The 24,049-nt window shown below is 41.6% G+C and overlaps 2 protein-coding genes across 4 annotated transcripts in view, besides 1 other annotated feature; both read left to right on the top strand.

Annotated features, from left to right (window-relative positions):
• The first annotated feature begins 1,130 nt into the window (after nt 1-1,130).
• Nucleotides 1,131-24,049, top strand: part of TVP23C-CDRT4 (TVP23C-CDRT4 readthrough) — a 127,469-nt gene continuing 104,550 nt past the window's right edge. Inside the window, exons 1-5 of one of the 2 annotated variants that reach the window (NM_001204478.2) lie at nt 1,131-1,177; nt 9,250-9,332; nt 10,785-10,929; nt 17,466-17,555; nt 18,698-18,829. In NM_001204478.2, the coding sequence (NP_001191407.1) occupies nt 1,166-1,177; nt 9,250-9,332; nt 10,785-10,929; nt 17,466-17,555; nt 18,698-18,829 (462 nt within the window). In that variant the 5' untranslated portion in view covers nt 1,131-1,165. The remainder of the gene's footprint in view (nt 1,178-9,249; nt 9,333-10,784; nt 10,930-17,465; nt 17,556-18,697; nt 18,830-24,049) is intronic. The other variant, NR_037924.2, reaches the window with a different exon arrangement.
• TVP23C (trans-golgi network vesicle protein 23 homolog C) overlaps nt 1,131-24,049 on the top strand; it is a 61,220-nt gene continuing 38,301 nt past the window's right edge. For both annotated transcript variants that reach the window (NM_145301.3, NM_001135036.2), the window contains exons 1-5: nt 1,131-1,177; nt 9,250-9,332; nt 10,785-10,929; nt 17,466-17,555; nt 18,698-18,829. In NM_145301.3, the coding sequence (NP_660344.2) occupies nt 1,166-1,177; nt 9,250-9,332; nt 10,785-10,929; nt 17,466-17,555; nt 18,698-18,829 (462 nt within the window). In that variant the 5' untranslated portion in view covers nt 1,131-1,165. The remainder of the gene's footprint in view (nt 1,178-9,249; nt 9,333-10,784; nt 10,930-17,465; nt 17,556-18,697; nt 18,830-24,049) is intronic.
• Nucleotides 23,384-24,009: an enhancer, noted in NCBI's record as "NANOG hESC enhancer chr17:15443919-15444544 (GRCh37/hg19 assembly coordinates)". NCBI's record gives its function as "activates a minimal SCP1, AML or CMV promoter by ChIP-STARR-seq in naive H9 embryonic stem cells {active_cell/tissue: H9 hESC(naive)}" and the evidence as "EXISTENCE:reporter gene assay evidence [ECO:0000049][PMID:30033119]".

The raw sequence follows: 24,049 nt of genomic DNA, 5'->3' as shown, positions 1-24,049 counted from the left end.
GGCTGGACGTACAGGCCCCAAATTTGTTAGCTTTTCATCTCCAAGGGCACGAATGCAATTGTGCTGCCGAAATGTCTCGCCTTTGAGAAACGCGTGTGTGTGTTTTTCCCCTTTCATTATTAGAATATTAGGTTTTAAATGGCACTGGCAAACAGCCACATAAAATTTGTGATTTTAATAGAATCCCTTCAATTAAGGAAACGTGCAAATACCACTATGCCAACAGCAGTCTGACTCGGCCAGACAGATAGGATATTGTCATCATCACCGCTTCAAAGATGACTTAACGCCCCTTAATTTCACATCCTTTGTTCAGGCAAGATCACAGCATGAGCGGCTGGACTTAAAACTGTAATAAGTATAACGTCTCCCATTTACTAGATACTTACACTGTAAGGAAACCATTATCACCCCCACTTTACAACTGACGAAAGAAGTACATAAAGGTTGGTGATATGATTGGCAATAGAGTTCCCAGGCGCCTAAGCTCCAGGGCGCAAGGTCTCAACTCCTGGAGTCTAAGTTTATACCTCCCATAATAATACCGTCCATTAGTTACTCTAGAGTCCTCCTGCCTTGTTTTTCTTAACGTTTTACTTCTCTGCAAGAACATATTTTAAAAAGTTGCTTCTACAATTTAAAGTACAAAAGTAATACTGTACAGGAGTAAGTCTTTGTAAAATATTTAAAGAAAATTATATTATACAATAAAACCCCGCCCCCCTGCATTCGGGGCAGCGACGCTGGGGGAACGACTTTAGAATTTGCATTGGGTGGACAGCAAATACTTCCGTAAAACAGACCATGAAGCTTTCCACTTGGAGCCCACTGTGGCCCCAATGCCTTTCCCTTTCGCTCCTGCTCCAGGCTCCGCCTCCGCCGTGTCCGGGCTGCTCGCCCCGCCCCCGCTCGCCCCGCCCCCGCTCGCCCCGCCCCCGCTCGCCCCGCCCCCGCTCGCCCCGCCCCCGCTCGCCCCGCCCCCGCTCGCCCCGCCCCCGCTCGCCCCGCCCCTGGATTTGCTCCCTCAAAGCGGAGGTGAGGCCGGACTGAGGCTCTTACAGTGGTCCCTGCTGGCCCTTGGTGACGGGTCGCGTCAGTTCCGACCCGGACCCGTACGCTGCTGCGCTGACGTGGCTCCTGGAAGCAGGGCTGGCGTAGGGCCGCCATGTTGCAGCAGGTGAGGGGCTGAGGGCGCGCTGGGAGGGTGGCGGCTCCTGGGACTGGCTCTGCAGGTTCCGTGGGACTGGAGCCCGCGTCCCCCGCGCCCGCTACTCGAACTCGAGGAGGAGCGGGGCGGCCGGGAGTGGAGGGCTGTGGGTAGTTGTCTGAGGAGGGCTGCTGGGGGTTCTGAGGCCGCTGGGGGAGGCGTGACCCGTGCGGCGCAGAGCAAGTACTTCTTGCGGCTGTGGGGACGCCCATTGTTAACCAGCGCGAGTGGGGGTCTCTCTTTCCTCAACCCTTATTGCCGGGGTGGAGTTGAGGAGGAGCGGCCTGCGGGCCTCTTAGCTTCCTGACACCCAGGGGTGCGATGCTATCTTGTAGGAATCGGCGACACCGCCAGAGCCTCGCTTTCAAATTGCTGTTTCCAAACTAATGTTGTTGGTGATTCTCTCCTTTGTGCTCTTAGAGTTAATTGTAGTCCACATGTTGGCAACCAGAGACTCGTAAGATTAATAATATTTTTAGAAAAAACTACTGTTTATGGTCACTTAGATTGTCTTAAGTGTTTTTTTCTTTCGGTTCACACAAAATTTGTTGAGGGATTACTATGACTCAGACACGGTTGTAGGCCCAGGGATAGGGTTGTGACCAGTACAGACAGGTTTCTTGCCCCGTATTTTCGGGTTAGGGAAGTGGGTTCTAGGAGATGGGGGTTGGGTGGGGAGACACGATAAATTGTATAACCAAAGATATTTTCAGATAATTGCAAAGGCAGGGTGATGAAATAACAAGTGTCCGAGGATAGGACAACTAAGATTTATGGTCAGGAAAGACTGCTTATGAGGAGATGCCTTGAGTGGAGAAAATCTAATAATGGTTAAATTCAGCTGTATTACAGGAAAGGTGTCCCGATCCAGACCCGAAAAGAGGGTCCTTGGCCGGGCGTGGTGACTCAGGCCTGTAATCCCAGCACTTTGGGAGGACGAGGTGGGTGGATCATGAGGTCAAGAGATCGAGACCATCCTGGCCAACTTGGTGAAACCCTGTCTCTACTAAAAATACAAAAATTAGTTGGGCGTGATGATGCACGCCTGTAGTCCCAGCTACTCGGGAGGCTGAGGCAGGAGAATCGCTTGAACTGGGGAGGCCGAGGTTGCAGTGAGCCGCGGGCCACTGCACTCCATCCAGCCTGGCTACAGAGGGAGACTCCGTCTCAAACAAAACAAAAAAAGTCTTGGATCAGGCAAGAAGGAATTCAGGGTGAGTCCACAGTGCAAAGTGAAAGCAAGTTTATTAAGAAAGTAAAGGAATGGCTACTCCATAGAGCAGCCTGGAGGGCTGCTGGTGGCCCATTTTTATGGGTATTTCTTAGTGATATGGTTAATAAGGGGTGGATTATTCATTCCTCCCCTTTTAGATCATAGAGAGTAACTTCCTGATGTTGCCATGGCATTTGTAAACTGGCATGGCGCTGTTGGGAGTCTAGTAGTGAGGACGACCAGTGGTCACTCTCGTGGCCATCTTGGTCTTGGTGGGTTTTGGTTGGCTCCTTTATTGCAACCTGTTTTTTCAGCAAGGTCTTTATGACCTGTATTTTGTGCCGACCTCACATCTCATCCTGTGATTTAGAATGCCCTGTCTGGGAATGCAGCCCAGTAGGTTTCAGCCTCATTTTACCCAGCTCCTATTGAAGATGGAGTTGTTCAGGTTCACATGCTTCTGACATTTGAACCTGCGCCCAGGCCGGATGAGGCTGGAGAAACACAACCATGTTGACTGTTCCCACTATTTATTTATTTATTTATTTATTTATTTATTTATTCATTCATTCATTCATTCATTCATTCATTTATGAGACGGAGTTTCACTCTTGTTGCCCAGGCTGGAGTACAATGGTGTGATCTCGGCTCACTGCAACCTCCGTCTCCCGGCTTCAAGCGATTCTTCTGCCTCACCCTCCAGAGTAGCTGGGATTACAGGCGCCCGCCACCATGCCCGGCTAATTTTTGTATTTTTAGTAGAGATGGGGTTTCACCATATTAACCAGGCTGGTCTTGAGCTCCTGACCTCAGGTTATCCACCCGCCTCGGCCTTCCAAAGTGCTAGGATTACAGGCGTGAGCCGCCAGGCCCGGCCGACTGTTCCCACTTGATAAGTTTGTGATGTGAACCTCAGTCGAGCCCTTAGTGCTGCCAGGCGGTCATTCTACATTTCCATAGCCCCTTCACCCTCTCGCCTTAGGCAACTATTAAAACTCAAATCTTCAACGTTTCTTCTCTTATCCTCTCTCAGCTGGTAACGTTGCTTCTTGTTTCACTGAAAATGGAAGCCGTCGGAAGACAATTTTCACACTAGCTGCCTATTTATTTGCATGTTTACTCAGGGTCTCATATTCTTTTATGATAATTGGACTGTCAGTGCTCCATTCTTAGGTCTTCCTGTCTACTGTGTCCTGGTTTCCATCTCCTCTTGCCTACTGGAAGGCATTGTTCTAGTAATTCTCTTTCTTGCATCATCAGTTTTTTAATCCTTTTAAACGTTTGCTCACATCAACATATAAACGTGTTTTAATTTCTCTTACCTTAAAAAATGAAAACTTGGCCGGGTGCGGTGGCTCACACCTGTAATCCCAGCACTTTGGGAGGCCGAGGCGGGTGGATCACGAGGTCAGGAGATCGAGACCATCCTGGCTAACACGGTGAAACCCCGTCTGTACTGAAAAACAACAAATTAGCCAGGGGTGGTGGTGGGCAGCTGTAGTCCCAGCTACTCGGGAAGCTGAGGCAGGAGAATGGCGTAAACCTGGGAGGCGGAGCTTGCAGTGAGCCGAGATCGTGCCACTGCACTCCAGCCTGGGCGACTCCGTCTCAAAACAAACAAACAAACAAAAAAAACAAACTTGACACCACATGCTCTTTCACTGGTCACTCCATTCTTTTTCCTTTAAAGACTTGTATCATATATACTTGTCTTTTAATTCTTCCAGTCTCTCTTGTATTCATTCTAGTCAGTCTCTCTTCCCCTCTCCCAACTGTACTGGAACTGCTCTTACTGAGTTCCCCGATGACCTGTTAAAAATACAGTGGTCATGGCTGGGCGCAGGGCTCATGGCTGTAATCCCAGCACTTTGGGAGGCCAGGGTGGGTGGATCATGAGGTCAAGAGATGGAGACCATCCTGGCCAACATGGTGAAACCCCGTCTCTACTAAAAATACAAAAATTACCTGGGGGTGGTGGCATGTGCCTGTAGTCTCAGCTACTCGGGAGGCTGAGGCTGATGCAGGGGAGTCCCTTGAACCCGGGAGGCGGAGGTTGCAGTGAGCCAAGATCACACCATTGCACTCCAGCCTGGCGACAGAGCGAGACTCCGTCTCAAAAAAAAGAAAAAAAAATACAGTGGTCTCTCTTTGGTTTTCATCTTACTTATGAGTAGCATTTGACACAGATGATGGATCCTCCTCCTGGAGGCACTTTGTTTGGTTTCCAGGACACTACCCCCTCCTGGCTCACCTTATGTTCCTTGGTACTTCTTTTTCAGTCCCCACAGCCTATTCCTTCTTATCTTTGTGATCTCTAATTATTGGAATGCCAGGAGTCTGTCTTAGCCATCTTTATCTTTTTAGTTGTTCAGGACAAAAACTTTGGAATCTTCCTTGATTCCTTTTATTTACCCTTCCTCCACCTCCCCAGTCAGTCAGTCCATCAGCAAATCCTGTCAGCTCTACCTTAAAATGTACTTGGAATCTATTTCTCATCACCTCCACTGCATCCATCTTAGACCAAGCCACTACTTCTTGGCCTCGTGATTAAAGTAGTTTCCTAACCAGTCTCCTAGCGTTGTGCTTTTGTCCCTCCTTCTTCTCCCCTCCCCCTCCAGATTTTTACTACAGTAGCCAGAATTCTCTTTCTAACAGGTGAGTCAGAACATGCAGTCTTACACTTAAAACACTCCAATGGATCTCCCTTTCAATGCTTTTTTGGTTTTAGCATCTTAAAATGTCGTTTAGCATCTTAAAATGTCCAAAATCAAACTGCTGATTTTGCCCCGAAATCTTTTGTGTCCATGGTCTTCCCCATCTTAGTAAATGTAACTCCAGGAGTGCAGAGCTATTTGTCTTTTTTTTTTTTTTTTTTTTTTTAAATCTGTACCACTTACAGCAGTACCTGGCACTTGGTAGGCACTCAGTATTTACTGAATAAATGAGAAGAAATCAGTCTTTCAAAGAGCAGGGTAAGAGAATAGTGTTCTAGGTAATATGAACCATAAGTGCAAAAGAACCTGACGGGGCCCAAGTTTGGCATGTTTAAGGAACTGAAAAGAAGGCCAGCCTGGGCATGGTGGCTCATGCCTCTAATCGTAGCACTTTGGGAGGCTAAGGCAGGAGAATTGCTTGAGCCCGGGAGTTTGAGACTAGCCTGGGCAACATAACGAGACCCTATTTCTGCAAGAAATTAAAATATTAGATATGGTGGCTTGCAGTACTCAGGAGGCTGAGATGTAGAGCCTGCAGTAGTGACCCCTGATTGTTCCACTGCACTCCAGCCTGGGCGAGAGCCAGACCCTGTGTCAAAAAAAAAAAAAAAAATGGCCAGTCTGGCAGGAGCTTAGGTACTGTATAAATTTCCTGTTGCTACTGCGGCAGTGAAGTCATATGTACTGTTGTAAAGTTCTGGTGGTCAGAAGTCCAGAATGAGGCTCAAGGGGTTAAACATCAAGGTGTGGGTAGGGGTTCTGGAGAATCAGTTTCCTTGCCTGATTCAGCTTCTAAACACCTGGGATCCCTTCCCCATCTTAATGCCATCAGCACAGCCTGTTCAAATCTCTGTCTCTCACCTCTACTTTGCTTGTTTCATCACCTTCTCTCACTGACCCTCCTTTGTTTCCCTTGTAAGGACCATTGTAATCATGTCATCTGACCAGCCTGGGTAATCCAGGATGATCTCTTGACCTCAAGATCCTTAACTTAATCTCATCTGTGAAATTCTTTTTGCCAAGTAAATTTACATATTCACAGGTTCCAGAGATTAGAACCTAAACATTTTTGGGAGGGGTGAGGAGGTATTCAGCCTACCACAGTTAATGAAGAGTGAGTGGCCTGAGATAAGGTCTTAGAGATTGGCAGGGACCAGATCATGATAGGTCATGATAGGGAGTCTGTTTTTCAGTCATAGTGCTGAGAGGTTTCAGTAGGGGAATGATAGGATTTGATGTGAAAAAGTCTCCCTGGCCGCTGGATGGCGATTAGACTGTTGGGATCGAGAGCAGAAGGCCTCAGCTTTTTATTCATAACATCATACGGTGGATCTCAGTCTTGCTGTACGTTATGATCACACCTCAAAGCAATTATATCTGAACCACTGAGGGCTGGACCCAAGTATCAGCCTTTTTTTGTTTGTTTGTTTGTTTTTTAAGAAAAAGAGCATTCTAATTGTAGCCAAGGTTGAGAACCACTAGTTTCATAGATCTGAATCCATTTTACCTTTTCAGCCTTAGCTCAGTAGGAGCTTCTCGCATCCATCACTTACTGCATGAGCTACTTGACCATTTCTTAGACAAACTTCCTGTATTCCCACCTGTGCCTTTCAAAATATACCTAGTCTAGGGAGGCCTACGCGGACTGTCAGGGCCCAGCTGACAAACTCTCCTCCAGAAAGCTTCTCCAGTGCCCTGTAGTAGGAATGATTTGCTTCCTTCCCTGGCTCCCATTTGCACTTAGATTTCTCAGCCCTGATCACAGTCAGCTGTATATTATCGTCTCCTTTGCTTATTTACTCATGCCTTCAACAAATACTGTACCACTTGGCTGAATGCTCTGCTAGACACTAGGATTTACTACAATGCAAAGACAGTCTTGGTTGGGCGTGGTGGCTCACACCTATAATCCCAGCACTATGGGGGGGTGAGGTGGGCGGATCCCTGGAGGTCAGGAGTTTGAAACCAGCCTGGCCAACGTGGTGAGACTCTGTCTCTTCTAAAATTACAAAAATTAGCCAGGCTAATTAGCCGAGACACACTCCTGTAATCCCAGTTACTCAGGAGGCTGAGGCACTAGAATCTAGCTTGAACCCAGGAGGTGGAGGTTGCAGTAAGCTGAGACCATACCACTGTACTCCAGCCTGGGCGACAGAGCAAGACTCTGTCTCAAAAAAAAAAAAAAAAAACCTTGTCTTCTAGGTCCTCCAGCAGCTTAATCTATATGGAGGTAGGAGCGGGTAGATGTGCAATAAGAATACTCTGAGATAATTGTTCAAATGGAGATTCGTCCAAGTGCTGTGGGAACATGGGGATTTCAGAGACAGGTTTTCAGCTATTTCAGTATTTGAGCTAAAAAACTTGAAGGATGATTTGGTATTTGGTGGTGAGCAGGGCATGGGGAAGGGAAGAGTTTTCTGAGACAACATGTGAAAGGCAGGAGATGGGAGAGAGACCGTAGTGTTCTTAGAGACCATGTAGTAACAGTATTGCTTCAGTGCTCAACAGTGCTCAATGAAGACAGTGTCAGAAGCAAGTAGGGGGCATTAGATTCTGTGATCTTCTATGCTTTATGTGAAGGAGTTAAATTTTATCCTATACTTGTAGGGATGCCATTGAAAAATTTGAGCAGTAGAGTGACATGGTGTGATTTCCATATTGGGAGGATTGCTCTGGGTAATGTAAAGGAGAGGCTGGAATAGAGAGGGATAAAGGCAGGGAGGCTGGTGAGTGGCGCTAGGAGAGGAACAGGATCAGGTTTGTTGTAGTTGAGGGGAATTGCAGTGAATTGAGGTGTGAACCACTCTTAGAAGCCTAAGGTTATGGGGCCGGGCATGGTGGCTCACGCCTGTAATCCCAGCAATTGGGAGGCCGAGGCGGGTGGATCACAAGGTCATGAAATCTCCTGGTTAACACGGTGAAACCTGTCTCTACTAAAAAAATACAAAAAATTAGCCAGGCATGGTGGCACGCGCCTGTAGTCCCAGCTACTTGGGAAGGTGAGGCAGGAGAATCACTTGAACCCAGGAGGCAGAGGTTGCAGTGAGTTGAGGCCACGCCACTGCACTCCAGCCTGAGCGACAGAGCAAGACTCCATCTCAAAAAAAAAAAAAAAAGCCTAAGGTAAAAGGAAGCAATGCTTTGGGAAGGTAGAGGATTGAAGAGGAGATTCAGGATCAGGGTTCTTAAAAAAATCTTTTTTTGCCTAATAAGTGGCCTTGAAGAAGTTTATATGCATATGCTGATTAGAAAGATTCAATAGAGGCCAGGCGTGGTGGCTCAGGCCTGTAATCCCAGCACTTTGGGAGGCTGAGGCGGACAGATCACCTGAGGTCAGGAGTTCAAGACCAGCCTGGCCAACATGGTGAAACCCCGTCTCAACTAAAAATATGAAAATTAGCTGGGTGTGGTGGCACACGCCTGTAATCCCAGCAACTTGGAAGGCTGAAGCAGGAGAATCGTTTGAACCCGGGAGGCGGAGGTTGCAGTGAGCCAAGATCGTGCCATTGTACTCCAGCCTGGGTGATGAGCAAAACCCCATTTCAACAACAACAAAAAAGAAAGATCCAATAGATAGACTTGAAGATAGAAGAAAGTGTAAATACAGGGGAAAATGATGAAACAAATCCCCGAGGAGGCATGAAAAGAAGTTATTCTGAGCACAAATAATTGGTTTAGCCTTGGATAAGAAGAGGAGGAGTTGTGAGAAGGGGTCATGGAACTAAGGATGCAGTCAGATGATTTTGTGAAGGAGCCAGAAACCTTGAGATTATCCCCAGTAGCCTCGGCTTGCTCTGTGACTTGGGAGAGAACAGGTGAGGAGGACAGGTGTTAAGTTGTAGTAGCCTCATCTGCACCCCAGAGTTTTCTCAGATGGTGCAGCCTAGGGGCAGGGATGGAGGAGCTGAGACTTCGATTATTCTCTGGGGTTTTTGCCAGATGATTTGAGGAGGCGGGTGGAGGATCTGCATGTGTCCTTTTCTAGGTTTTGAATTCCTGATGCTGTAACCACATTATTTTATCTTCTATTTTGATGAGTATGCAGCTTTGCATTGCAGTGGCTGTGTAAACACTGAATTTTGTTTTGCTTCTTGACCATTTATTTTTCCAACCAGGATAGTAATGATGACACTGAAGATGTTTCACTGTTTGATGCGGAAGAGGAGACGACTAATAGACCAAGAAAAGCCAAAATCAGGTAGGAGGAGAAGTTGCATGAGCTGTGTTAGTGTCCAGTGTTGTTCTGTATGTATGTCAGTGCTAGCTGATGGGAGTCAAGGCAGAGTTGTTTCAATGTGCTTGTGAATACTGCATGTTGCTAATTTAACATTTAGTGTAAGACAAAGATGACATTTCAGATTTTCTTGTGAATAATTGGCATACTTAATACTGAGTTTTAAAATCAGCAAATCCAATTATTTGAACACCTGTGTTTTTAATTCTGTGCTATTTTCCAAGAATGTACCATTTCTTTATATAGTTTCTGTAGATACTTTACATTTTGATTTATTGTGCACATTTCAAAATCACATAACATTTCTATTCTAAATTTAATTCTCTCTAAATAAATTCACTTATCGAAAGCAAATTCTACTTGAACCCTGCTAAAATGCTGTTTTTTACTTTTCTTTCATCTTTCATGCCAGTCACAAAAGACCACATATTGTATGATTTCATTTATATGAAATGTCCAGAATAGGCAAATCTGTAGAGACAGAAGATAGATTAGCTGTTGCTAGAAGCTGAGGGGTTTGAAGGTAAATGGGGAATGACTGCCAGTGGGTGCAAAGATTCTGTCTGGGGTAATGAAAAGTTGTAAAATTGGAGTGATGGTTGTACAAATCTGTGAATGTACTAAAAACCATTAGATTGTTTACCTTAAATAAGTAAATTGTATGATATGTGAATTATATCTCAAAAAAGCTATTAAAAAACAAGAAACAGGCTGGGCGCGATGGCTCACGCCTGTAATCCCAGCACTTTGGGAGGCCGAGGCAGGTGGATCACGAGGTCAGGAGATTGAGATCATCCTGGCTAACATGGTGAAACCCCATCTCTACTAAAAATACAAAAAATTAGCCGGGCGTGGTGGCAGGCGCCTGTAGTCCCAGCTACTTGGGAGGCTGAGGCAGGACAATGGCGTGAACCCAGGAGGTGAAGTTTGCAGTGAGCCGAGATTGCGCCACCAAACTCCAGCCTGGGCGACGGAGCGAGACTCCGTCTCAAAAAAAAAAAAAAAAAAAGAAACAAACAAACTACCTGATAACTTTGTCTTAATGTCTGAGTGATTTCTGAGGGCTAAGGAATTCTTTTGGCGTGATTTGAAAATAGGATTCAAATTCTAAGATACGGTTTCCTTATTTCTCCAAGAGAGGTAAAATTCTTTATTATCTATTTTGTGAAAGTTTATATTCAATGAGGTGTTAAAGTCATCTGTGCATAGTGTATTTTCTGTCACTATAGGGCCTAGTCAAATAGTGGGGCTTAAGAAAAAGAGAGCTAGGAGGTTTGCTTCCTCCTACTAAAGTCACCTCTTTTATTTTGACAAAACTCTTCACAGTTACACGATGGCTAAAACATTTTTCTCTACATTTGCTAGTACCTGTAGTAAAATGTAATTGCATTTCTTTCATTGTGTTTTGGTTTTCAGACATCCAGTAGCATCGTTTTTCCACTTATTCTTTCGAGTCAGTGCAATCATCGTCTGTCTTCTCTGTGAGTTGCTCAGCAGCAGCTTTATTACCTGTATGGTTACAATTATCTTGTTGTTGTCGTGTGACTTTTGGGCAGTGAAGGTAATTTTGATTGTTTTTATTTTAAAATTATATTTAATATGAAAATGATGTATAAAAATATGACAGCATTTTGCATTATTGTTAATCTTTTGTTACTTCAAACCTCATCTGTGTTGAAGTGCTAGATATATCAAATTGCATGTAGTTTTTTTTTTTTTTTTTCATTTTTTCCCTTTGACAATACAAGATGAGACATGTAGGTTACTGTGCTGCTGATTTTTCTGTGCCATATTCTAACCTACATCAGCTTTAAAGTCAAATAAACAAACAAATGTGACTAGCAACCATAGACCCTACAATGTTGCTTCTAATCCATACCATGGGTTTTGCTTCAGGCTTACCTGTAGGTGTGTTGTATATAATTTCTAGATAAGGCCCCAGTGTAGTTTGTCCACAAATACCTAAAAAATACCTACCTTTTGAAAAGGCTCCTATGGATGCTTTAAGGCAGTGTTTCTCAACCAGAGACAAGCTTGCCACCCACTGAATATTTGTCAGTGTCCAAAATTGTTTTTGGTTGTCATGACTGGAGGTGGGAGGAGTGTGCTATTGACATCTAGTGGCTAGAGGGCAGGTATGCTGCTAAATATCCTAACACACAGGACGGCCCCTCTGCAACAAAGAACTACCTGACCCAAAATGTCAGTTGTGCCAAGGTTGAGACACCCTGCTGTAGGGGATAGAAAGGAGTGTAAGAAATGGTTTCAAACTCAAGAACAATGATTAGAGAGATGGATGGATGGATAGATAGGTACATAATAAATAGATAAGTAAGCATAATAAAATATTAAATATGGACTCTAGATGATAGATATTTGGGTATTCACTGTAAAATTTAACTGTGTGTGTTCGAAAATATAGTAAAATAGTGGAGAAAAAAATCAAAGGCTGATTTTGGAGTTTCAGAGACATATACTGATTCAAAGACTAGTAAGATGTTACAACCCTATTCACATCCACCAATGTAGCCATTTTTAGATCTTTTAATTCTTTTTTTTTTGAGACGGAGTTTCACTTTTGTTGCCCAGGCTGGAGTGCAATGGCATGATCTTGGCTCACCGCAACCTCTGCCTCCTGGGTTCAGGTGATTCTCCTGCCTCAGACTCCCGAGTAGCTGGGATTACAGGCATGCACCACCACGCCTGGCTAATTTTTTTGTATTTTTAGTACAGACGGGGTTTCTCCATGTTGGTCAGGCTGGTCTCGAACTTCTGACGTCAAGTGATCTGCCCGCCTCAGCCTCCCAAAGTGCTGGGATTACAGGCGTGAGCCACTGCGCCTGGCCATCTTTTAATTCTTAAAGATATCTGAAGTGGTTGGCTTGGTGATGGCCAGTTTCCGTAGGCCGCATAATGCTGAGAAGGAAGATTTCAAAGGTCTGTTTTCTTTAGGTTTTTCTTTTGTCCAGTCTTCTTTGGCTTGCATTTCTTTGAATTTCTTCTGTTACTTTATGCTCCAAAGTATTTAGTACATACTGCTCACAGTTTTGATACACGTTTCTTTTTGTTGTTCATAAAATTTCTGTTTAGCCAAATAGAACATGCTTTCCAGTCAGTTCTTCCTGGTAATTTCCAAATTCTTAAAATTTTTCTGGGTTTAGAGTTTTAAAAAATGCGATCAAAATAGTTTATTTTCTGATAAGGTTTATTTGTTTGTTTATTTTTGTTTTTAAACAAGAGCTTAAAAAATGGCACCCTTTTATCCTTGGCAAAATTACTTATAGATAGCAAAACAATGGAGATATGAAGCAAAATTAAGAAGTCAAGAATAGGGAAATTATTAAGTGGACTTGGGATAAGCAGGGTTCTGAAACAGTTAAAATGGAGATGTGTCGTAATTGTTATAAATCTCAATGTACTTACTAAAAAAACAAAAAATCAATCTTCATCTAAACCCCTGGGTGTCCAATCTTTTGGTTTCCCTGGGCCACAGTGGAAGAAAGAATTATCTTGGGCCACACATAAAATACACTAACATTAGCTGATGAGCTTAAAAAAAAAATCGCACACAAAAAAATCTCATAATGTTTTAAGAAAGTTTACGAATTTCTCTTGGGCCGCATTCAAAGCTGTCCTGGGCAGCATGAGGCCTGTGGGCAGAGGGTTGGATAGGCTTGCCCTAGGTGATGTTAATGAAGATAAAGAAGAGGTAGAGAAGGGAAAATAATTTAAAGGTATGCTTAAATGCTAAAGCTTATATTGGTTTTTATTTTATTCTTCACTCTGACAAATTGAGTAAAAAAGGTTAAATAATGGCTTTAAAAATTTAATGGCAACTATGGCTGGGCGCGGTGGCTCATGCCTATAATCCCAGCACTTTGGGAGGCTGAGGCGGGTGGATCATGAGGTCAGGAGATCGAGACCATCCTGGCTAACATGGTGAAACCCCATCTCTGCTAAAAAAAAAAAAAAAAAAAAAATGAGCCGGGCATGGTGGCAGGCGCCTGTAGTCCCAGCTATTCAGGAGGCTGAGGCAGGAGGCGGAGCTTGGCAGTGAGCCGAGATCGCGCCACTGCACTCTAGCCTGGGCAACAGAGCAAGACTCCATCTCAAAAAAAAAAAACAATAATGGCAACTATTAGTAAAATTTAAAACCAGTCGTGTATCTTCTGCAACATTGGAGAAGATGGAGCAAGTAAAACAGTTCATAGAGCAAAAGAAGGAAAACAAAGCAACTGTCAAGGAAGCTTAAATCAGAGAGTACATGTATAAAGTGATGTAAGTAATAGCAAATTCATTATAATAGGAAATGTAATTTGATTAAACTACCCATTTAAAGACAAGAATACTAAGATTGGTCAGAAATCAAAGTCCAAACAAAAGATCTAACCAAATTAATGACATTAGAAAAAACAAAAGAAGGCAAAGATAACATCAGGCAAAAATAAAAGAAGGCAAAGATCAACTCAAACAAAAAGAAACTTGGCATTGTATTATTATCAGATGAGATATGGATCAGAGTAAGAAAGCACTAAGAGGAACAAAAAAAGGTGATTTTATGAATCACAGTGAAGATCATTCACAGAGTAAAATTATATCAAACTATGTATAGTAAAAAAATTGGAAATATTAGAAAATAGAAAAGCATTATGATGAGTTTAACAAACTACTATCTTAAACAAACCAAAGTGCCAAAAAATAAATAAGTTCTGAAGGATCTGAATGAAATAATTGGCAACATCAATTTGATAGCAGTATTTGGGACTTTGTATGACAGAGAGAATACTTTCTTGTTAAATGCCTGTGGAACATTTACAAAAATTGACTAAATATCACTGTGAAGAAAATCAAAATAAAATTGCCCAAAGCACCTACATTTTCTACTCCAAAGAAACAGAACTAGAAATTAATAGAAAGTAGTTGTTGAAATTGGAATTCTTTTAAAAAAGCGAACTACTACATATCTTGGGTTTAAAAGGAAGCAAAAACTGTAAATATAAGTTATTTATACCTTAATGGTGATCATTTACAGTTAAACTTTCTGAATATGTCAAAAACTGAATTCAGAGGGAAAATAATAGACTAAAGCCTTTTATTTTAGACAAGAAAGAGGGAAAATAATGGACTACTTGAGTCCAGAAATTTCAAAAACAAGCAATAAGTGTGAGAAATCAGGAAAATAAACTAATAAAGATAAAAGCAGGAAATAAAGAGTTAGAAAATGGAAACAGAAGAGTTTGAAAGTATTCTGAGAGCATTCTTTGAAAATACCTATAGAAGAGACCTCTGGTTTAGGTCTCCCTTGCCAGCTCTTTTTTTTTTTTACTTAGCATCTCTCCCATAGGAATTTTGGTCTCATAAGACTCTTCCTTTTCTTCTCCTGTATTCCCTTCCTAAGGAGTGCTGTCTGTGCTTCTGGTTTGAATTGCTGATCTGTAAGCTGTGTTGCCTCCCAGATCTGTATCTCCATTCAGGTTTGTCCTCACAACTTAAGGCCTCTCCATGTGTCTTCTTGACGTTTTTATGTGGCTGTCTTGAAGGCATCTCAAATCTTTTTTTTTTTTTTGAGACAAAATCTTGCTTTGTCACGCAAGCTGGAATGCAGTGGTGTGATCTTGGCTCACTGCAACCTCTGCCTCCCGGGGTTCAAGTGATTCTCCTGCCTCACCCTCCTAGATAGCTGAGACTACAGGCATGCACCACCATCCCTAGCGAATTTTTGTATTTTTAGTAGAGGCAGGGTTTCACTATGTTAGCCAGGCTGGTCTTGAACCCAAGTGAGCCACCATGCCTGGCCAGGCATCTTATATCTTAACATGTGTAAAATACTACTTGTCATCTTCCACTCCCCAAAAGCTCTTCTTCTTTGAGTGTTCCCTTTCGTGGGGCCTGGAATCACTATTTTTTTACTTGAGCAAACCGTAAATGTATCAGTTGCCTCCTTCCTACTCCATATCCAATTAATGACCAAGTCCCATAAATCCATAGATTGTACTTTCTTCATTAGGGCATCAGTGCCTGCTGCTCTATCTGGAATGCTCTTCTTCCTCCCACATCACCTTCATACAGGGATTCCTAATCTTTTTATGCCATGGGCCCCTTTCATAAACTCATGAATAAGTTTTCACATATATAAAATACATAAGATTTCAAAGGAAGTCACTTATATTGAAATATAATTTAAAAATATTAAAAAAGTAAATTTCTGATTGAGTTATATGTGTAGTAGTTCCCCCATTATCTGAGGTTTCGCTTTCTGCGGTTTCAGTACTGCTATATGCTACGCTAAACAGTAAGATACTGTGTGAGGAGAGAGAACTACATTCACATAACTTTTATTAGATTATGTTGTTATAATTGTTCTATTTTTATTTCTTATTCTCTTACTGTGCATTATTTATAAATTAAGCATTATCATAGGTATGTACTTATAGGAAAAAATATAGCATATATAAGGTTTGGTATTAACCACAATTTGAGGCATCTGCTGGGGGTCTTGGAATGTATCCCCTGCAGATAAGGGAGGACTACTATACTTTATGAATTTATTAATGGTAAGATCTAGTGGCAGGTCTAATAACTACTTTCAAAGCAGTGGTGAGCATAAACAATATGTTAAGATAACTGCAGCAAGTATAGTACAAAATGAAAAATGTCTGTGGTTTCTATTGTGTCAGGGTGTTTTTAATTTTACCTATGTTCATAGTTTGTTGTCTACATTCATAATTTAATGATATGCTAACTACTTTCAAAGCAGTGGTGAGCATAAATAGTATTTTGAGGCCGTGCGTGGTGGCTTACACCTGTAATCCCAGCACTTTGGGAGGCCAAGGCGGGTGAATCACTGAGGTTGGGAGTTCGAGACCAACCTGACCGACATGGAGAAACCCCATCTCTACTAAAAATACAAAATTAGCTGGGCATGATGGCGCATGCCTGTAATCCCTGCTACTTGGGAGGCTGAGGCAGGAGAATCGTTTGAACCCGGGAGGCAGAGGTTGTGGTGAGCTGAGATCGCCCCGTTGCATGCCAGCCTGGGCAACAAGAGCGAAACTCTGTCTCAAAAACAAAAAACAAAACCAAACAAAAAACAAAACTACAATATTTTGAGGTAACTGCAGCAAATATAGTACAAAATAAAAAAATGCCTGTGATTTCTATTGTGTCAGGGTGTTTTTAATTTTACCTACATTCATAGTTTGTTGTCTACATTCATAATTTAAAGATATGCTAAATTTTAGCCAGAGGTTAATGAAAATGAAGGTAACATTTTTTTTTACCCATCGAGGTTCACAGAACCACTGAATCTATTAGTGGACACCATTAATTAAACATCCATGGTACTGTTGATTCTTATTTATCTTTTATATTTCATTCCAAATGTTGACTCCTCAGAGAGTCATTTTCTGATACCCAGACTAGATCAAATTTCCCTGTTATACTCTTCAAGCATCCCACACTTTTCCCTTGCAGGACTTAACTCAGTTGGTAATGGTACATTTGTGCATTGGTTGTCTGCCTCTCTTCACCTCTTTCCCTGAGGAAGGAGTTGGTATCTGTTAGTCACTGTTGTATTACCAGCACATAGTAGATGCTCAGTAAATATTTGTTGAGTAAATAAAGATTAGGAAAGCTATCAAACTAATTTGTTACCTTAGTAAGTAGGAAAAGAGCTTGGTACACTTGAGAGACTGACTGAAGGCCAGTGTCTATAATCATTTTCAGGGATATGTAGTTGTAAAATATATGTAGCTATAGTCAGGATGTAAAGTAGGTCACAGTAACCAAATAGCAAGGGGTTTAGGGAAAATTAGGGAACTGGAGAAAGGGCAAATTGTTCATGAGGGAAAAGAGAAGGTGTAATGTTTATGGGTGGACTTGTTGCTTGCTCTGTCACCTCTACCCCTATTAGTCCTGCCATTACCATTTTACTTAATCGTTTAGCCAGGCCTGATACATAGTAGTCTTTGCTAACTGGATATTATGGAGGTAAAGCTGAAGGTTTTTGTTTGTGAAATGTTACACTAAGATAGGAGCTTGTGACAGATCTTTAAATAATGCTTTTAAAATGTGCCTGTTTATATTAATCTTCACCAGAATGTCACAGGTAGACTAATGGTTGGCCTACGTTGGTGGAATCACATTGATGAAGATGGAAAGAGCCATTGGGTGTTTGAATCTAGAAAGGTAAAGTGCCTTTTTTGTTTTAAATAATGTTATCAGCTAAATTATTTGTAGACTATATTTAAATACTGGAAGATGAAGTATTCAGAATTAAAAACACTATACCAAATCACTTGGCATGTCAGCACTAAAGGAGATGGCCTTCTAGAATTTAATGCATTTTTCTGTCTAGTTCAGACCAGAAACAAGCAATATACGAACAGAATCCTTTGAGGGAAGACACTGGGTCTGAGTTCATACAGTGTGCTAAGCTGCCTGTCAGGGATTGCTGATAAAAGATCTCTGTGTTGCCTTTGTTAGTGTCTCCATAAATCCCTCTATGCTCAGCAGATAACTGCTTTTAACATCTTGTTCTGTCTTTGCTCCTGTGGTCGTCTTTCATTTCTGGGCAGGAAAAAGGAGGAGGAGTGCAGCTGGATAGAATATCTGATTGGAGCACTCTATTCCTAAGCTTCTGCCTTCAGGAGCCCTGGGGATCCTGGTCTGTTTTGGGTTAGCCTGCTACACTATAGTGAATATTCACTTTCCTTGTGGAAATAAGTTTTGGAAGCAGAGGACCAAATTCTTGGCGACAGTACACCAAGGGTATTGACAAGTTATTTTAAGAAAGTGGCACTGTGTTCAATGAGCCTGTATTCCTTTATATTATGGAATCTACCTTGGAAACAACTTACCACCCTTGTAAATTCCTGGGTATTGCTAAGACATTTTGATTATTGTCCAGAATCCCTTGATTCCGTTTTTTTTTTCCCCTCTGGACCCTAATTTGACCTTTTAGTCTCCAGAATGATTATAACTGTGATTTCCTTGATCATTGGTCAGAAAGGTATCATTTAGAGCTTCCTTATGAATAAATAGTACAAGTGCAAGAAGAATTGAATAGAAGCCTATCAGAGACCACTCTTTACTGTCATGAGTTGTGGTAAACCATCCATCCTGCCCTGAAAATGCAAAATTCTTGAGTTAATATAGATCAGTTCCTAAAATTACGAGAGTGATAGTCATGTATTTTTGGGTTCTAACTTAGGAGTTGGGCTATGTGTATTAATATTTGAACTTGTGGGTAATATGTTTTTTATTAAATATGTTGAACTTTTTATTGATAAATTTCACAACATGATAATTGAATTTATGTTCTTTTATAGGAGTCCTCTCAAGAGAATAAAACTGTGTCAGAGGCTGAATCAAGAATCTTTTGGTTGGGACTTATTGCCTGTTCAGTACTGTGGGTGATATTTGCCTTTAGTGCACTCTTCTCCTTCACAGTAAAGTGGCTGGTGAGTATCAGTGTAGAACTTTCAAATAATCCATTAAGATGTCTGATGGTAATCATAGGAAGCAACAACTGCAACTGAGTCCTTATCATTAGGGACCTATCTTGAATAGGCAGCTTCATCATGTAATTCCCAAGTTTTGCTTCCCAACTTTACCTTTCTCTATAATACTGGAGAAGAGATCCTAAAAAACCCCTTCCCACCAGTTTTCTAGGATATTAGTGGTCTTTTCTGGAAATAATGGTTGGTAATCTGTTTTGGTTACCTATTGCTGCCTAACAAATCACCCCAAAACATAGTGGCTTAGAGCAACAACAGCCATTATCTCACAGTTTCTATGGGTCAGGATCTTGGGAAGGGCTCTGCTGGGAGATTCTGGCTTGGGGTCTTGAGTAGTTGTAGTCAGACAGTAGTTGGAATGATGGGGGTTGTGAGCCATCTCCTCTTCATGAGGTCCCATGGCCTCTCCACATGTTTTTCCATGTGCCTTGGTTTGGGCTTCCTCATGGCATGGTGGCCTCATGGTGGTGGGACTGCTTACGTGGCAGCCCAGTACTTCACTTGTGGGGTGTTCTAGCTCACAAGCTTTTACAATCTAGCCTAAGATGTCATAGCATTGCTTCTGCTGCCCACTCACATTCAAGGAAATGGGAATTAGGCTCTACTCTTGATAAGGAATAAGAAGGTGCTAGAAGACTTTGTGGAAGAGGAGATATTGTTGCTGCTGTCTTTGGAAAATATAGTTTGTCACTTGACCCAATTTGTGAGTCTTACTCTTTTTTATATCTCATATTGTTTTTTCTTATTCTATCTTATATCTGATATGAATAAATATTGTGTGAATTTTCACACAATATTTATTGATATCAGATATATTTTGGCCTTAATTATGTTTTTCCTCCTAATTTGTAGTATTTTCTTAGTCCTATTTTGTGATATAGATTCTTTTTTTCTTTGTGTGTGCTCATACATTCATACTTTCCTTCTTTGGATTTGGAAGCTTATTGGAAGCTTATTGTCTTTTTTCAGTTCTTCTGGTAGTTACCTTTAATTACTTTATATGTTATATCATTACCCTCTTTCATGAATTAGGAAATGTATTCAGTATTTATGGAGTTCCTGCTCTGGAAAATGGGAAACTTTACGCTAATATGGTTTCTTTAACTTCTCCCTCCTCCTACCTCTAGAGTTTTGCTTATTATAGTCTTATTTTAGTCCTTCTAGTGGTTTTCTTTGTAACATTAATTAATGTACTTAAACCTGTTTATTGACTTAATAGACTCTGTTTAGAAAGGGAAGAAAATAAACACTCATATTCCTTCCTATGAGTTTCCTCCTTTCTCTCTTGTTTGTTCCAATGTTATTTTTGTGTTACCAAGTTTTATAATAGTTATCTTTTGAAAACATATTTCTTACTGGTTGTTCAGTCTTTGATCTGTTTTTTAAAAAAGTCAATTCATTGCCTATCACCAGTCTTATTGCAGCTTCTCCTTTTACTTATTGGTTGGCTACATTTTCTTTTGACTCATGTTTAAACATATGAGCCTATTGACTATTCTTAAATGATGACCTGGCTGGATTAATATTCTTGGGTCACAGTTTGTTTCTTTTTGGAGGATGCTATTCCATCATTTTCTTTCACTGAATATCTTGGAGAAGTCTGAGGCCAGGCTTACTTAACCTTTGTAATCTCTCCTCATAAGGTGTTTTTTTTTTTAGTTCATGTAACCCAGATGTATTTGTATTTATCTTTCCATATCAAGTTTTCTGGAGTCTGTGCCTTTCTGACAGGCAGACTAAAGTTTTGCTTGGAATCAGGAAAATTTTTTCTGTTAAATCTTTGCATTTATTTATGTTCTATGGTTTGACCTTTTATTTTGAAGTACCAGTTACGTTTATGTTGGATCATTTTTATTTGTTTTCATCTACTATTTTCTTGTTGCTTTAATTATTCATCTTTTCCTTATTTATTCAGCAATTTTAAGAGTTCACTCTTATGTCAGAGCTGTCTGGGGACACAGGGGGACAAGTTAGGGGACAGTAAACAAGTTGACTGCTCCAGTAGAGCTTATGTTCTAGTGGAAGGTAGATAAACAGTAAAAAATACAGTAGGGGATGTTAGTTAATGATACAAAGTAATGGGGTAGAGAGTGCAGAGGAGAGAACAGTAACTATTTTAAGTGCTCAGCTAAGGCTTCTCTCTGTATTTCCTTAGCTTTGTCAGCTCCATTTTCATCTCCTGTTATCTCACCCTCATGCTTTTTGAGTTCTTTTCTTTAGGTTTTTCTGTAGGGTGAAATAGTCCCAGGAATGCTTTTATTTTGGTGGGTTTTTTTTCTTTTCGAGTAGATTCTTCACCTATCTTCTGTATACTATGCTTCTTTTTTCTTTTTTCGCTATAGTTTTGCATAAATGCACTTCCCTTTTTCCTTATCCATTTTGCTTATCCTTACAGTGACAGTCCTGTCCAGCCCTTCTCTTTCTGCTGGTTTAGTGCGGGTGAATCCCCCTTGACCACCTTCTCCTGATGTCTGAGGCACGTGGCTGCTGCTCTGAGCTGGAGTTGCAGTGCTGGGTTTGGTAGCCTGAAGGCACAGGTGTGATGTGCGATGTGGAGAACTTACCAGGCTCTTGCTGTCTTGGCTGGGCTGCCTGGTTTTGCGTTCTCTTCCTTAGTGGGGCTCTTGTCTGCTGGTTGGCTGTGCACTCTCTTCTGGTTCTTCCCTTCTGCTTTGGATTGTTTGTAAGACCTTAGAGCTTTAGCATCCATCCAAGAGAGTGAGCCCAGTCTTTTTCTAGCAGTGTTTCTACTTCCTTAAAACAAAACAGGGAGAGGTTATGTGAAAGCCAGTTTGATCCTGTGTTAACCTACTTATGCCTAGTGTTCCATTATTGGAACGCTAAGCATGTAGGAGTTATTTATATCCTACTGCTCAAGGTAATCACCAAGGTCTGATTTTTCACTCATGCAAAAATTCACAAAATTGCAGCCTACAGCATAAATGGGTTAAGACCTTGGCATGGTGGCTCATGCCTGTAATCCCAGCACTTTGGGAGGGCCAAGGCGGGCGGATCACGAGGTCAGGAGATCGAGACCATCCTGGCTAACACGGTGAAACCCTGTCTCTACTAAAAATAAAAAAATTAGCCGGGTGTGGTGGCAGGCACCTGTAGTCCCAGTTACTCGGGAGGCTGAGGCAGGAGAATGGAGTGAACCCAGGAGGCGGAGTTTGCAGTGAGCTGAGATCGTGCCACCGCACTCCAGCCTGAGTGACAGAGCGAGACTCCGTCTCAAAAAATAAATAAATAAAAATAAATAAATAAAAATAATAAAAATAAATGGGTTAAGACCACAGGACGGGAATGGGCTTCACCCAGTCTCTCCATGAGTCTCCCACCTCCTCACTTCTCTTAAGATGATCATCTCTCATGATTATTGATCCTTCTGCGCTTCGTCTCCTGCCTTCTTCCCACCCGGTGGCACCACTATGGCCAGCTGCAGGGATTTTCCTGCCTGTTTGGGTCATTGTTAGTTGGGAGGAGTTTCTGCTGTCATGGCTATTTCTGCATTTTTTTCTCGGGTCTTTTGCTTTTCTATAAGTTCCTGGGGATGGTAATTATTAGTGAAATTTTCCTTAGAGCTTCTTTGCAGAGTTTGGAGCTATGTAGAGCTGCTCCAACCTGGCTCTTTCTTTGGCCACCAGCCCTTTTTTGTGTTTGTTGGTATTAGTTTATTTGTGTTTTTAAAAACGCTGTTTGCTGTTTGTACCTTAAGGGCAGGGAGATCTTCATGTCTGACTTCACTGCACCATCTTAAACCAGAAGTTTAACTTACAGATTTTAACATTTGTTGCCATTGAGTAAATCGATGCCTTAGCAGGACCCGTGATTGGTCTTTGAATTCAGGTGTACCCTGGCATGTTGATATATACAATACCCAGCAGTGCCCCATTTGAGAAGCATGGGAAATTAAAAGGAAATTTATTCAAATAAATACACAGTTTTATATTTATTTAGGAAACTAGCACCCTCTTATTACACTAACACGTTTAATTCCATGAAACATAAGTTTAGAACAGAAAGTACCACCTCCTCTTCTTTTACTAGGAATGTGAACCTGTTCATTAATCAAACATTTAAATCTATTAATTAAACATTAAAATCAGCTATACATCTTGTTAAGGGTAAGGAGAATAAATCTAGATTGGAAAACGACATTTCATTGAGCTGCTTTGCTTGTCACAGATATAAAAGAGTAGAATGGTCGATGAGCTGTTTATTCCAGAACAAGGGTTGGCAAACTATGGCCTGCAGACCAAATCCAGCCCGACACCTGTTTTTGTAAGTTTTTATTGAAAAACAGCCTTGCCCACTTATATATTGTCTATGGCTGCCTTTGGATTAGAACAGCAGAGTTGAGTAATTGCAACAGAGACCGTATGGTCTGAAATATTTATGATTTGACCCTTTACAGGAGAACTTTGCTGATCACTGTATTAGAGTCTTTAACCTTGGGAATCCCTCACATTGTCTCAATTTTTCTAATTAAGATTAATTAGAAATTTTTAAAGAATGGGTTTTGAGTTTCTTTTTCTCACTTCTCATTGATCCTAGTGGGATCACCATAGGTGAGAAAATGAAACTCAAAGGAACAAACAGCTCTGCAAAAGTACAGTTCCCCTTGGAGCTGTCTCTCTCCTCGGGGAAGGCAGGCATCGGTTGATTTATGCCTTAGGGCATTGCATCCCCTCTACCAGAAGCCAGTTGTCACGTAGAGCAGAGATTCACCCCTACCTGCTCTCAGTTTATTGAACTTGATCTACCTCTTGACTGTTCTTTTGTAATTCCTATAGGAATAATTAACATTTGAACCTTTCCTGAGTCTCATTTACTTTTCCTAACTTTACTCACAGACCAATGGGAAACAGAGAGCAAGAAGGCTCCCCCTGCACTGCATCCCCAGCAGCTAGCATGGTGCCTGGCACATAGAGCAGTTGTGTCCAGTAAATATTTGCTGGGTGAATGACTCGTGCCTTGTGCAGAGCGTCTATCAGATGGGTCTGTTCTGGCAACTGTCTCTGGAAAATCTCAACTGGCACAATCATGGCTTTGCAGAGCTTCCTCTTCCTTCTCTTTCTCATGACAGTCTGCCTTGTCTCATTTATGGCACAGAGAAAGGTCAATTTCAGGCCAGTAACCGTTGATTATTTTTTTCCCTTGTCC

The sequence above is a fragment of the Homo sapiens genome, chromosome 17 (genome assembly GCF_000001405.40).
Source record: "Homo sapiens chromosome 17, GRCh38.p14 Primary Assembly".
NCBI lineage: Eukaryota > Metazoa > Chordata > Mammalia > Primates > Hominidae > Homo > Homo sapiens.
The sequence above is the reverse complement of the archived record's forward strand: the minus strand, read 5'-3'. Positions and strand labels throughout refer to the sequence as shown.